Raw genomic sequence first — 16,326 nt, forward strand, 5'->3', positions numbered from 1 at the left:
TTCTCATTGGAGCATCTGGGCCATAATTATCTAACGCTCAGTTTTATAAGGCACTAAAATAGGGTTTTCCAAAATAAATGTACAAAGTTCTATTGTCACCAGAAAGGTATGAGTGTTTCTGTTGGTCTACATCTTTCATAACACCCAGATTGCCTGCAAAAAAAAAAAAAAAAAAAAAATTTAGGCATTTTGATGGGAGGGGAATACAGTAGAATAATATTTTGGTTGTAATTTCAATCTCTGATCACAGATAATGTCAAGTATATTTCACTGACAGAACATTTGTAAATTCTTTTTTAACAAATGCCCCCTAAAATATTTATTAGACTGTTTTTTTCTTATTGATTTGTATGAATGATTTACCTATTATGGATACAATGTTGATTTCATATATGGCTATTGGGAAACCTACCAGTCTGTGACTTGTCTTACATACTCACTTTATTAATGTTGTCTTTTACTTAATTCTTAAATTTTGTGTAGTTCAACATATCTTTTTTAAAATCTAGTGATTTTAACAGATTTATTTGGATACAATTTACATAAAATAAAATTAAATCACTTAAAATTTACATCTTAACTCTTGGTCAGTTAATAAAATCATGTAATCAAAATCACACTTAAGGTATATCAATTGTATCACCCTGTCGAGTTTCCTCATTCTCCATTGCAGTCAGCTCAATCCAAATATCTACAGTCCAGGCAAACACTAATCTGCTTTCTATCACTGTAGGTTTATTTTGTTTGGAAATTTATATTCACAGAGTCAAGAGGTATGTCATCTTTTGTATTTTTTTTCAATTAACATGACATTTTTGAGGTTCATCCATGTTTCTGTGTGTATTAGTCGTTTTCCCTTGCTGTGGCTGAATAGTAATCCGCTGTACAGATATACTACATTTTAATTGCCCATTCACCTGTTAATGTTTGGATTGTTTCTAGTTTTAGACTATATGAATAATGCTATTAAAATACATTAATCAAAAGTCATTTTGTGGTCAGATGCCTTCATTTATAATGAAGAGATGTCAAAAAGTGTGATGGTTTGTAACCATATTGTAAGTGTATATTAGCTTTCTAAGAAACTCCCCAACTCATTTGCAGTGTGGTTATCCCATTTTGCATTCTCAGTAACAATGCCTGAGTCATTAATACTTTCAGCTGTTTTAATTTTTATCATTCCTATACTGTGAAGTTGTAGTTCATTGAAGTTCTAACTTCTATTTCTTGAAGACTAGTGACATCGAGCAGTGTTTTACAAGCTTTTGAATATTAACATATTGTCTCTGTGAAGACAGTTTTATTAAGCATCTGACATTTTTAATTGTTTTTTTCTTTTTTAATCAAATTAAAAGCATTGTTACATTACTTTTTTATTTTTAATATTTTTGGATTTGTTATTTCCAACTGGTAACCAGCCTTTCATTTCTGGGATAAAATTCAATTAGCTATGATGCATAATTCTTTTTACATACTGCTAGACTTGATGTGTCTATATAATGATAAGAATTGTTTTTTCGGCCGGGCGCGGTGGCTCACGCCTGTAATCCCAGCACTTTGGGAGGCCGAGGCGGGTGGATCATGAGGTCAGGAGATCGAGACCATCCTGGCTAACAAGGTGAAACCCCGTCTCTACTAAAAATACAAAAAATTAGCCGGGCGCGGTGGCGGGCGCCTGTAGTCCCAGCTACTCGGGAGGCTGAGGCAGGAGAATGGCGTGAACCCGGGAAGCGGAGCTTGCAGTGAGCCGAGATTGCGCCACTGCAGTCCGCAGTCCGGCCTGGGCGACAGAGCGAGACTCCGTCTCAAAAAAAAAAAAAAAAAAAAAAAAAAAAAAAAAAAAAAAGAATTGTTTTTTCCTTTCCAACATTTATTATAGAATCGAGGTACATGGCAGCCTTGAAACATGGGTAAACTGCATGTTAACAGGGGTTTGATGTACAGATTATTTCATCACACAGTTAACAAGTGTAGTACACATTAGATTGTTTTTCAAACTTCACTCTTCTCCCACCCTCCAACCTCAAGTAAGCCTTTGTGTTTATGTTTCCCTTCTTCATGTCCATGTGTACTCACTGTTTAGCTCCCACTTAAAAGTAAGAACATGCGGTGTTTGGTTTTCTGTTCCTGCTTTAGTTCACATAGGATAGTAGCCTTCAGATCTATCCATGTTGCTGCAAAGGACATGATCTTGCTCTTTTTATGGCTGCATAGTATTCCATGGTGCATATGTACCACATTTTCTTTATTCAGTCTACAATTAATGGGCATTTAGGTAGATTCCTTGTCTTTGCTAGTGTGAATAGTGCTGCAATGAACATGTGCATGTATGTGTCTTTACGGTAAAATGATTCATATTCCCTTGGGTATATAGCCAGTAATGGAATTTCTGGGTCGAATGGTAGTTCTGGGTTAAGTTCTTTGAGAAATCTCCAAACTGCTTTCCCACACACTGTGGCTGAACTAACTTACAATCCCACTAGCAGTGCAAAAGCATTTCCCTTTCTCCACAACCTCACCAGTATCTGTTATTGTTTGTTTTGTTTTGTTTTGTTTTTTTAATAATAGCCATTCTGTTTGGTGTGAGATGGTAGCTCATTGTGATTTTGATTTGTGTTTCTCTAATAATCAGTGATGTTGAGCACTTTTTTGTATGCTTCTTGGCCACATGCATGTCTTCTTTTGAGAATTTTCTGCTCATATACTCAGCTCACTTTTTAATGGGGTTATTTGTTTTTTGCTTGTTCAATCATTTAAATTCCTTTATAGTCTCTGGATATTAGGCCTTTGTCAGATCCATAGTTCGCAAATATTTTCAACCATTCTGTAAGCTTTCTATGTATTTTGTTGATAGTTTCTTTTGCTGTGCAGAGCTCTTTAGTTTATTTAGATCACATTTGTCACTTTTTGATTTTGTTGCAATTGCTTTTGGGGTCTTTGTTATGAAATCCTTATCAGAGCCTATGTCCAGAATGGTATCTCTTAGGTTTCCTTCTGGGGTTTTTATGGTTTTACGTAAACTATAAAACTATATAAACTCTATACCTATAGTTTGAGGTTTTACATGTCAGATTTTTTTTAATCCATCATGAATTGGTATTTATTTATGTTGAAAGGTAGGGATCCCGTTTCAGTCTTCTGCATATGGCTAGCCAGAATCGTTTATTGAATAGGGAGTCCTTTCTCCATTGCTTGTTTTTCTCAACTTTGTCAAAGTTCAGATGGTTGTAGATGTGAGGCTCTATCTCTGTGTTCTCTATCCTATTCCATTGATCTGCATGGCTGTTTTTATACCAGTACCATGATTTTTTTTTTTTTCTGTAACCTTGCAGTATAATTTGAAGTCAGACAGTGTGCTACCTCTGGCTTTGTTCTTTTTGCTTAGGACTGCTTGGGCTATTCAAGTTTTTTTTTTTGGTTCCTTGTAAACGTTAGAGTAGTTTTTTCTAATTCTGTGAAAAATGACATTGGTAGTTTTATAGGAATAGCATTGAATTGCAAATTGCTTTGGGCAATATGACCATTGTAACAATGTTGATTCTTCTTGTCCACGATCATGGACTGCTTTCTCATTTGATTGTGTCATGTCTGAGTTCTTTCAGCAATATTTTGTAATTCTTGTAGAGATCTTTAACTTCCCTGACTAGCTGCATTCCCAGGTATTTAATTTTTTTCTATGGCTATTGTAAATGAGATTGTATTGTTGATTAGGTTTTCAGCTTGGATGTTGTTGGTATATTGTAATAATACTGTTTTTTGAGTAATTATTTTGTATCCTGAAATTTTTCTGAAGTTGTTTATCAGATCTAAGAGCTTTTGGGCAGAGACTATGGGGTTTTCTAGGCATAACATCATATCATCTGTGAAGAGAGATAGTTTGAATTCCTTTCTTCCTATTTGGATATCTTCTATTTCTTTCTCTTGTCTGATTGGTCTGCCTAGAACTTCCAGTACTATGTTGCATAGGAGTGGTTACAGTGGGCATTCTTGTCATGTTTTAGTTCTCAAGGGGAATGGTTTCAGTTCATTTTATTGGACTCCTTATTCAGTATGATATTGGTTGTGGATTTGTCACAGGTGGTTCTTATTTTTTAGAGGTATGTCCCTTCAATGTCTTGTTTGCTGAGGGTTTTAACATGAAGAAATGTTTGAATTTATCTAAAATCTTTTTCTCATCTATTAAGATCTATTATGGTTTTTGCTTTTAGTTCTCTTTATGTGATATATTACATTTACTGATTTGCATATATTAAACAAAGCTTGCATCCCAGGAATAAAGCCTATTTGATCATGATAGATTAGTTTTTAGTAGTGCTGCTGCATTTGGTTTGCAAGTATTTTGTTCAGGCTTTTTGCATCTGTGTTCATCAGAGATATTGGCCTGAAGTTTTCCTTTTTTGTTGTGTCTCTGCCAGATTTTGGTACAAGAATAATGCTGGCTCAGAATAAGTTAGGAAGAAGTCCCTATTCCTCTTCATTTGTTTTTGGAATTGTTTCAGTAGGATTGTTCCAGCCCTTCTTTATACAATGGGTAGAATTTAGCTGTGAATCGTCTAGTCCAGGAATTTTTTTCAGGTTGGTAGGCTTTTTATTACTGATTCAATTTTCATACTCATTACTGATGAGCATGGGGTTTCAATTTCTTCCTGGCTCACACTTGGGATATCATATGTTTGAAGGAATTTATCCCCTTCTGAGTTTTCTAGTTTGTGTGTATAGAAGTGTTCATAATAGTCTCTGAGGGTTGTTTTATATTACTGTGGGGTTGGTGGTAATGTCCCCTTTGTCATTTCTGATAGTGATTATTTGGATCTTTCCTCTTTTTTCTTCTTATTATTATTCTAGCTAGCAGTCTATCAGTCTTATTTATTCTTTCAAATAACAAATTTTGGTTTCACTGAATTTCATTCAGTTCAGCTATGTTTTGGGTTATTTTCTTCTGTTTTGCTAGCTTTGGAGTTGGCTTGCTCTTGTATTTCTAGTTTCTCTAGGTGTGATGTGAGGTTGTTGTATGTATGTATGTATATACATGTTAGAAATATATATATTTAATATATATTATAGAAATATATAAAAAGAAATGTATAGTTAGAAAATGTGTGTGTTTAGCACTATAAGCTTTTCTCTTAACTTTCAAAAAACAGAAATCATACCAGCCACAATCTTGGACTACAGAGCAATATAAATAGAAAGCATTACTAACATGGCCTCTCAAAACTATGCAATTACATGGAAATTAAAAAGCCTTCACCTAAATGAGTTTTGGGTAAACAATGAAATTGTATCTGCTTTAGCTATGTCCCAGAGATTCTGGTATGTTGTATCTTTATTTTCATTAGTTTCAAAAATTTCATTATTTTTGCCTTAATTGCATTGTTTACCCAAAACTCATTTAGAAGAAGGTTGTTTAATTTCTATGTAATTGCATAGTTTTGAGAGATCATGTTAGCAATGCGTTCTATTTATATCGCTCTTTAATCCAAGATTGTGGCTGGTATGATTTTGCTTCTTTGAAAGTTGTTGAGAATTGTTTTATGGTCAACTTGTGGTCAATTTTAGAGTATGTGCCATGTGCAGATGAGAAAAATGTATATTTTGTTGTTTGGTGCATTCTCTAGATGTCTTTTAGGTCCATTGGGTCAAGTGTTGAGTTTAGGTCCCAAATATATCTGCTAGTTTTCTGCCTCAATGATCTATCTAATATTATCAGTGGCATGTTGAAGTCTCCCACTCTTACTGTGTGATTATCTAAGTGTTTTTGTAGGTCTCTAAGACCTCGTTTTATGAATCTGGGTGCTCCAGTATTGGGTGCATATATATTTAAGATAGTTAAGTCCTTCCTTTGAATTGAACACTTTAATATTATGTAATGCCCTTCTTTGTCTTTTTTAATCATTGTTGGTTTAAAGTCTATTTTGTCTTAAATTAGAATAGTAACCTCTGCTCTTTTTCATTTTCTGTTTGCTTGATAGATTTTTTTCCATCACTTTACTTTGAGCCTATCAGTGTCATTGAATGGGAGATCGTTCTCTTGAAGACAGCATACAATTGGGTCTTGCTTATTTATTCAATTTTCCACTCTGTGCCTTTTAGGTGGGGTAAGTAGCCTGTTTACATTCAAACTTAATATTGATATGCATGGATTTAATCCTGCCAGCATGTTTTTAGCTGGTTGTTGTGCAACCTTGATTGTGTAGTTGCTTTAAGTGTCTATGTACTTAAGTGTGTTCTTGTGGTGGCCAGTAATGGTCTTTTGTTTCCAGTTTAGCACTCACTTAAGGGTTTCTTGTAAGGCAGGTCTGGTGGTAACAAATTCCCTTAGAATTTGCTTGTCTGAAAAGGATTGTATTCCTCCTTCACTTATGAAGCTTACTTTGGCTGGATATGAAATTCCTTGTTGGAAATTCCTTCTTTAAGAGTGCTCAATATTGGCACCCAATGTCTTATGGCATGTAAGATTTCTTCTGATAGGTTCACTGTAGCCTTATGGGTTTCCTCTGTGCATGATCTGCCCCTTCTCTCAAGCTGCCTTTAGTATTTTTTGTTTCAAAATGATCAAGAAAAATCTGATGACTACATCTTGGGGATGGTTGTCTTGTACAGTATTTCACAAGAGTTTTCTGAATTTGAATGATGAACACTCTAGCAAGGTTGGGGAAATTTTCATGAACAGTATCTGCAAATAAGTTTTCCCATTTGCTTGCTCTCCCTCTCAGAGACACCAATGATTCATAGGTTTGGTCTCTTTACACAATCCCATGTTTTTCAGAGTTTCTGTTCATTGTTTTTTATTCTTTTCTCCTTATTCTTGTCTGACTTAGTAGATTTGAAGAATCAGCCTTGAGCTCAGAGATACTTTCCCCAGCTTGATCTATTGTGCTGTTAATATTTTTGATTGCATTATAAAATAGTTGTAGTGAGTTTTTCAGCTCTATTGGATCAGTTGGTTCTTTCTTAAAATGGTTACTTCGTTTTTGAGCTCTTCTATCATTGTATTGGATTCCTTAGATTTCTTGGATTAGTTTTTTACTTTCTCCTGAATCTCGATGATCTTTATTGCTATCTAGATTCTGAATTCCATGTCCATCATTTCAGCCATTTCAGCCTGGCTGAAAACCATGGCTGGGGATCTAGTGTAGTCATTTGGAGTTAAGAATGCACTCTGGCTTTTTGAGTTGCCATAGTTCTTGCACTGGTTCTTTCTCATCTGTGTGGGCTGATGTTTCTTTAATCTTGAAATTTCTGGGCTTTCAATTCAGTTTTAATATTTTTATTCTTTGATGTCCTTGAGGGTTTCACCGTAATGTAACACAGCTGAGTCAAAAGAGTTGACAGTTCAGTCAACCCCCTTTATTTCTGGATGATTTCAGAAGGCCAAGTTTCAGCTCAGCGCTCCCGAGCTGCATGCTCAATCCCTGGGGGGCTAGTACCGGGCCTACAACTTGGTTCTCTGACCATTTCAGGTTAAGCACCTGGTTTGCTGGAGGGGCTGAGGTGTTCCAAGTGTGTTGGCAACAACACTCCAATGTGGACATTCTAACACAAGTGTTTAATCAGGGAAGGGGCAACATGGTTCATGCTGTGTACATGCTCTGGTGGCAGTGGGGGGACAATGTGGAGGGGTGCTTGAGCACTGAAATGGGGCAAGGCAGGTATTTGTTACATATGTTTATAAGTGGTATTGCATAGCAGTCTTCATTTCCTGTAATATATTTGTCTAGTCTTGCTACTAAAATAATAATTCCTTTATAATAATAATTCCTTTAGCCAGTACTTCTCTTTTCTCTACTGGCTTATATAGTTTGTACGGATGTGGTATCATTTCTATCTTAATGTTTGATAAAATTCACCAGTGAAGACCTCTGGACTCAGAGATTTTATCATATAAGGACATCTAAGTATGAACTCAATTTATTTAATTAATCTAGGTTAATTCAAATTTTCTATTCCTTTTTAAATCCTTGTTGACACATTGTCACTGTCATTGCTTTTTGTGACTTTATGTAAGGTTGCATCCAGTATAGCCACTTGCTTCATCCACAGCATGAGATTTAAGGAGAGAGAAAGACAGACATGTCAAAACTACAGTCTTTGATAATTATACACTAGTTGAATAACATTTGGCAGCTTGCTTCACTCAGAGGAAGATTTAAGAGGAGAGGGAAAGACACAGATGTCAAAACTACAGTCTTTCATAATTATACACTAGTTGAATAACATTTGGGTTGATTCCAGTTTGAAGTAACATACTATCATTTGTACCTATGCTACTTGTCAGACAGACAAATTCTAGTAAAATAGTTAAAGTGATTAAAAGAGGTTTCAAATACAAGGAGGCAGAGGTCATTGGGCATAATCATGTAGGAGGCTAATAAAACATCTTTACTGATTTTGTTTCAAACTTCTCTCATTTTTTCCTGATGGAAGTGAATAAAGCTCTCCAAATAAAAATTAAAAACTTCTATTTCTATATTCAATTCTGTCAAGTTTTTCTGCATATATTTCAAGCTCTCTTTTAAGGCTATACAATCTTTCACATATTTTCCCTGTGTTTTTCATTTTTAATATAATATACCCCTACTTATTTTTTATTAATAATACTTTGGCTTAAAGTGCAGTTTATTTGATATTAATATAATCATTCTGACTTTTGTTTTTGTTCACTATTTTCATAATATATCTTCCCCCCCAATGATATCTTGCCTGAGATCATTTTGTATAGCTATTTATTTTTGGTTTATTGATGTATTATTTACAAACAGTAAAGTTCATTGTTTTATCTGCAATCCTAGAAATTTTGATAAATGTATACATTTATAAAGCCTCCAACATAATCATGCTATATAGTTCTTTCGTCAAACTCAAACCTTTAGGCAATTTTATATATCTCGCCCAGTGATTGCCAATGAACATTCTATTTACTGCAGTGATAAATTTGCCTTTTCTAGAATATCATATTAATTGATCATACATTATGTAGTCTTTACATCTACTCTCTTCTTATTTTATAAGATTCATCCATGCTGTTGTGTGAATCAATTCTTTCTTTCCAAAATACTATATTATTGCAGAAGAGTGATCTATTTTGTTGTAGATACTATACTGTCTGTTTATTCAAACACCCATTAAAGCAATTTTCATTGATTCCAGTTTTGAGTGTTTATAAATAAAGTCATCACAAACAATCATATGCAAGTTTTTTTGAACAAAGCTTTTCGTTTCTGTGTGTATATATGTCATGTGGATTATTGGATTATATGGTAAGATTTTATTTATATAGGAAGATGCTAAACTGTATTTTTTTCAAACTAGTTGTACCATTTGCACTTCCATTAATAATATATGAGATTTTCAGTTGCTCCACATACACCAGCACATGATGCTATATTTTTAAAGTAACTCTAATAGGTGTTTAATGCTATCTCATTGTGGTTTTAATTTCCACTAATGTCTAATTATCTTGCATATGACAAAGTGCCTATTCAAATGTTTGGCATTTTTATAGTGTTTTAAAAATTTTAATGAGTTTGCGAGTTCTCGATACATTATAGATACAAATCCTTTTATATCTATTTATTTTTGAATATTATCTCCCTATCTGTGGATTAAAATTTATATTTTCTGTGAATTATACTTTATATTTTTAGCCCTATATTTTGAAGAGAAGTTTTTCATTTTTAAAGGCACAATACATCATCGTGTGCAGGTTTTCTATGTTTATTTCCTAGAATTTTAAAGTTTAACATTTAACAGATAGATCTATTTTGATTCATTTTCCTTTACATTTTTGATGTATTTTTAATGGTATATGTCAAGGTTTTTTTGCAGATATGCATAACTATTTGTTTCAGTATGATTTGTTAAAAGTAATTATCCTCATTTTATGAATTGCTTTTGCACCTTGTAAAAATTCTTTTGACTACATATGTTTGGAGCTATTTCTGAATTCTCTATTCTATTCAAGTCATATATTGAAACAACTTTTGCCAACATCACACTCTTATGACTACTGTCACTTTATGATAAGGCTTAAAATTAGGTGAAGTGTGTAATCCAACTTTGTTCTTTTTCAAAATTGTTTCAACAAGTCTAGTTGCTCTCCTTTTGCATACGCATTTTAGAATTAGCTGGCATATTTGAACAAAAACTCCGAACAGAAATCTGATAAAAATAAATTGAATCTATGTCAAATTTGGAAATAATTCACATCTTTAGAACTATAAACACAGTATAACTCTTGATTTCAAGTGTACCTTAATTTGTTTCTTCAGTATTTTTTACTCTTTAATATGTATATTTGCAGAAATGTTTAAGATTTATACTGAAATACTTCATGTGTTTTGATTATAAAAACCAAAAATAATAGCTTCCTAAGATTTAAAAAATAAAAACTTGGCCGTAATCAAAAGTATTTTTACATTTGCCAGATTCCATTTGATATTTTGTGAAACAGTTAATATTTAATATTTATTTATCATTAATATTTAATAATATTTAATATTTAATTTTATTAATTTAAATTTATTTAAATTAATAAATGTGTTTAATATTTAATTTATTAATTTAAATTTATTAATATTAATTTTAATATTAATAATATGTAATAATTAATATTTAAATAAGGAGAAATAATGATCTTCAGTTTTCATTTGTCTTTCTGATTTTGTATCAGGTGGTCAAACTATATTCTCTTACCATTAATACATGTAACTAGTTCTTAATATCAGAAAAATTCATGAAAATTTCTCAAGTAAATAAAAATCAGACAACATACTTATAAGAGTCTGAGTCATCAAAAAGAATGTTAAATGGAAAACTAGAATGTATCACGAACTGAATGGCAATTAAAACACAGTGTACATAATCTTGTTGCTAAACCAGCTAATTTAATATCACTCAATGCTTGCATTAAAAAAAAAAACTGTCTCAAAAATGTAAGTTACCACCATAGAAAAGGTAAAAAAAAAAAAAGAATAAGCCCAAAACAAAGAAAATGATAGAAACAATAAAGTTAAGAGACTAAATTAATTTAAAAAATTAAAGAGAACAAGAAAAAAAAATCAATGCAACCAATGCTGCTTCTTTGAAAATATCAATAAAAATGACAAATTTCTATCATGCTGCCCCCAAAAGGATGTGTAATAAAGGGACACATTACTACATATCCTACAGACCTTGAAGGAGAGAAAAATAGAATGTCACGAAGAATGTCATTTATGCCCATAAGTATAATATAGAAACTATTTGAAAGGGATACCTTTAGTTAAAGACATAAATGACCAAAATTCATTCAATATACAGTATATAACGTGACTAATCCTTTGTTAACTAAAGAAAGAAATCAATACTTAAAAGCTTTCAGCAAAGGACAAGGTAACAAGCTCCTTTAAAAAAATTTGCCTGTAAGTCATTTATATTTAATGTCATTATTTATATGATTTGATTAAGTAGTCCATCTTGATAGTTATTTTCTTTTTGTTATTCTCACTTTGTTTCTTGTACTTTTTTTTGTTTTCTTTCTTCAGTTGGGTCAACTGAGTAATTTTTCTGATTTATCTTCTCTGCATTCTTTTAACTTATTTAAAAAAATTATTAGCATATACTTTTGGGATTACAATGTATGTATTTTTGGCTAATAAATCTAGCTTCCATTTTTATTATACTACTTCACTCATACTGTCAGAATCTTAGGAAATTATATATTCAATTACTGCTATACATCTTTTATTTTATCTGTGCCACACATTGTTACGTATGTTGTAAAACTATCCTGCATTACAACGATTGTTGCTTTACACAGGTGTAAATAAACTATGCAATCTATCATCAATGGGCCAAATTCAACAGTATCTAATTTTCTTTGTATGCTCAATGTGCTAAGTACATTTTTTACATATCTAAAGAATTGAAAAAAGAGGATGAAGAAGAATAGAAAAAAGAAGGAGCCACCCCGGAAAAGGAAGAAGAGAAAGAGGAACGAGAAGGGGAGAAATGAATATAAATATATGTGAGGCATACATGAGGCACATACATACACATATATATTTCTCCGTATGTGGTCACTAAAACCTAACATATTTATCTCATCCTTTAATAAAAAGGTTTGCAAAGCCTCACCTTAGATGTAATTTATTTTTAGTGATTAACATTAAAAAAATAAAGATATTTGCTATGGTCTGTATGATTCTGTTCCTCCAAAATTCATATGTTGAATCCTAAGCACTAAAGTAATAGTGCTACAAAAGGGGTACTTTGAAAAGCTATTAGGTAATGACGGCTAAGCCATCATAAATGGAATTGATGTTTTTATAAAAGGGGCTCCTGAGAGATACCCTGCCCCCTTCAACCTTGTGATGAAACAGCAAGAAGTACCACAGTCTACAACTTGGAATGTGACTCTCATCAGAACCAGAAAATGCTGGCATCTTAATCTTGGACCACCCAGGCTCCAGAACTGTGTGACTTAAATTTCTGTTGCTTATAAGCTACCCAGATAATTGCATTTTATTATAGAAGCCACAAAAGACTAAGATAGTTGTTTAACATTTATAATTATTCTAACAATTTTGAGACATTCATTATTTATATAGATTCAAATTTTGTTCAATAGCATATTGCTCCAGCTTAAATAATGACTAAATACTTTTTGTATCACATTTTTACTCATCATTAATTCATTAAAATTGTTGCTTGTCTGAGTATTTTTTTGTCCTTTATCATATGTATTTTTACTGAGTATAGAATATGGGACTGACAGGACTGACATTTTTTTCTTGTATTGCTTTAAATATGTCACTCCATTGTCTTCCGACGTATATATTGCTTCGGATTTGCAAAAACAGAAAATTTACTGGAGCTTATCTTTTTTTCTCATTATGACATTTTTCTTTTCCTTCAAGAAATTGTGTTCATCTCTGATTTTAGAGGGTCCTTGTATTTATTATATTTATGGCTCTCTAAGCTGCTTGGATCTGTGGTTTGACATATTTCATTATTTGCAGAAAATTCTCACCATTAGATATTTCTCTTTCCCTTCTGGATTTCCAATTACATGTATGTTTTGCCATTTGATAGTTTGCCATATCCCTGGATGCTTTCTTCTTGTTCATTTGCTTATCCTGCCTATATTTCACTTGGGTAAATTATAATAATCTGTCTTCAGGTACACTGAATCACTTGTTGGCTGTCTTCAGCCCATTGAATACATTATTCACCTCTCTTAGTGTATTTTTGATTTCTACTGTCTATACTTAGTTCTTTTTCAATTTCCATCTCTCTGTTGAAATTCTCCTTTTTTATTCCTGCTGTCAATTTTTCACTTGAGTTTTAAACATACTATTCACTTTATTTTTATTTTTAAATTACTGTCTAATATTTCCAACATCCAACCAACTTTGTAATGTTGATTTTTGTCTTTTGACATTGTTTTTCATTGTTTCTCTTAATTCTTGTTAGATACTGGACATTGTGTACAGGATGATAATAACAGTAGTAAATAATATATGTACTTTGAAATACGCATGCTTTTTCTTCTGCTATGCTGTTACTGTGGGAGACACAGTTAGTTGAGTCAGCAGTTGATCTAGGTCCTCAGCTTGTTGTTGCTATTGTCAATTAAGGAATGACAAGGTTCATAAATTTAGAAAAAAGAGTTTTATTTCTCATAAATGGCTGCAGCCTGCCACATGGCCCTTCTAACAGACTGGGAAGCATAGCTTCCAGCCAGAAACCAAAAACAGATGATTCAACGGTGGGAGGAGTAAGACAGGAACATATATTCAATTAGCTATAAGAGGAGTCATGAATATTTGAAAGGAGAAGCATGTGCATAGGCAATTGAGCTTCATGCCTCCCCCATGGGACCCATGTGAAAAAAAAATGATGGTGTTAGCATAACCCAAGGGTGTGGATTTTGCCCTGTGACATCAAAAGGTGAAACAGGGATATGAAAACCATCTCTGCATCCTCCATAGACTGGCCAGAACCACTCTGTGGTCAGTGATCTCTTGTCAAGAAGAAATGCTGATCAGTTGTTCTGTTGAAACCCTAAAAGTCAGGGGCAGCTGCCAGTCAGTTGGTTGATATTATCAGTAAAGTCTTTTGAAAGGGCTAGTTTCTGTTAGAAAGCCTAGTGGCTATCAGTGTGGAAGGGGTTATAACGAGGTATGTTTTACCTCCCATCCAGTTATGTCTGAGAAATCAGTTTTCAAGGTTTCTCTGGGGTTCCTTTGCCCAAAAGGGAGTCTGTTCAGTGAGTTGTGAGGCTTAGAATTTTATTTTTATTTCTCACTATTATTAATTTCAGTACAAAACTACCCTCAAATTCTTCTAACATTACCTTGTACATAGAGTGAGGACTAGTTTGTCCGTGGGTGTTTCCTCAATATTCTTGCTCTACTATTACCTTTATACCTTCCCTGTATTCCCGTATCTTAGAGTCTCTCTTTAAATTGTTGTGTTTCCTCTGTCATATAATGCAATTTCTTATTACTTAAGGTTTGCTAATCTGGTAATGATAGGAATTACATATGTTCTCTGTTGTGCTGGTCAGCCTCTCTTAGTTTCTCTTTGCTCTGTGTTTCAAAGGAGGAATTTCTTGGTGATTTTTGCCTATCCTCAAATAATAAGAGATCTCTAAATGATCTGGGCTCAAAATATTTTTCTTCCTTCCTTTAGGAAATAGTTGGATTCCCACCCCACCTCCCCCCATCTCTGTAGTAGTAAATCTTCATCGCTACCCTAGGAGAAACAGTATTCGCTGTTTTTGTCTTTAGATTATTATTATTTTTTAAATGGCCATTTCTTTCTCATGTACCCTGTAACAGATGGGTATATTCTTGTGTCCCACCTCTCTTACAAAGTTTTTGGTGTATCCTGGGACTTTAGGCTTGATCTTTTCTCTTTAAACTCAATTCTAATAGTCTAAAGGAAAACCATTATCTTGCAAATCACTTCCAAATGTTATGGGTGGCAAGATGAGTGTGAGCCTCTTTCCAGCTTTCTACCTCATAGAGGGAATCTAGAGGATCCATGTCTTTATATTTGAAGTGCATCTCCTGATAGGGTATACAGAAGAATCTTGATTTTTGCTGTTTTATATTTGTTTCACCTCATACTTTTATTTCTTCATTTCTCCTTCTCTGCCTTATTTTTATTTTGCCAACATTTTAGTATACCATTTAGATTACATTGACATTTAACATTTAGCATTATTATTTGTATTAATTTTTAGTTATTGATCTAGTATTGATTGCAACATGCATCTTTATATTATCAGAATACAGTTGTATTTAATGTAGAATTACACCTAGTAAAAATTACTTAGCAGTCGTATATTGCAATTACCACCATTTCTTTAAGCTATTTATATCACATAAGTATTTCATCAATGCATGTTACAACAAGATGGTGTTGTTTATTATCCTATACTTTACACAATTTAATATATGTATGTAACAGGGTTACATATCTATAATATAGAAGCTCTTTATATAACATATAACTAATAAATTATTTTTTGAAATGTGATATTTAAAAATAAATAGAAATGTTATTTGGATTATCTAGTTAATTGGAATATTAAAGTCACAGTATAATAAAATATTTTAAGAATGACAAATATTAAATGTATTTTATGCACAACAGAAACTTTTTTGTTTCCGAGACAGGCTTTTGCTTTGTCACCCAGGCTGGAGTGCAGTGGCACAATCATAGCTCACTATAACCTCAAAATCCTGGACTAAAGATATCTTCCCACCTCAGCCTCCCTAGTAGCTGGGACCACAGACATATACTTTCATGCCCAGCTAATTTTTTAAAAGTTTTTGTTCAGAATGGGTCTTGCTATATTGCTCAGGGTAGTCTCGAACTCTTGGCTTCAAGCAATCTACCAGTCTCAGCCTCTTGAATTGCTGGGATTACAGACCTGAGCCACTGTGCCCAGCAGGAACTTCTCATTTACAGGACAGAAGGTATGTTGACAGAAAGTTTATTTTCACTAGTATTAGCTAATGCTAATTAACTTTTGATAAGATATTAGTAAATTACAGTAAACCCTTGAAAACTGAAATATCTAGTGTCATGAGATAGTTTATTTTAAAATGATTGAAGTCAAGTCTCAAATTCAAATGTTTCTTCTAAGTTTGTTGATACTATATTAGATTATTAAATACATTTCAGTGCAGCAAATTTTATTCATTAAAAATTTATAATATTTGACATAATAAATGTCACTAATTGAACTACAATGATTTAGAATGAATATAGTGGTAAACTACCAATTGTAATGCTCTATAAGATATATATTCAATTTATACAAATTAAAAC

The sequence above is a fragment of the Homo sapiens genome, chromosome 5 (genome assembly GCF_000001405.40).
Source record: "Homo sapiens chromosome 5, GRCh38.p14 Primary Assembly".
Lineage (NCBI taxonomy): Eukaryota > Metazoa > Chordata > Mammalia > Primates > Hominidae > Homo > Homo sapiens.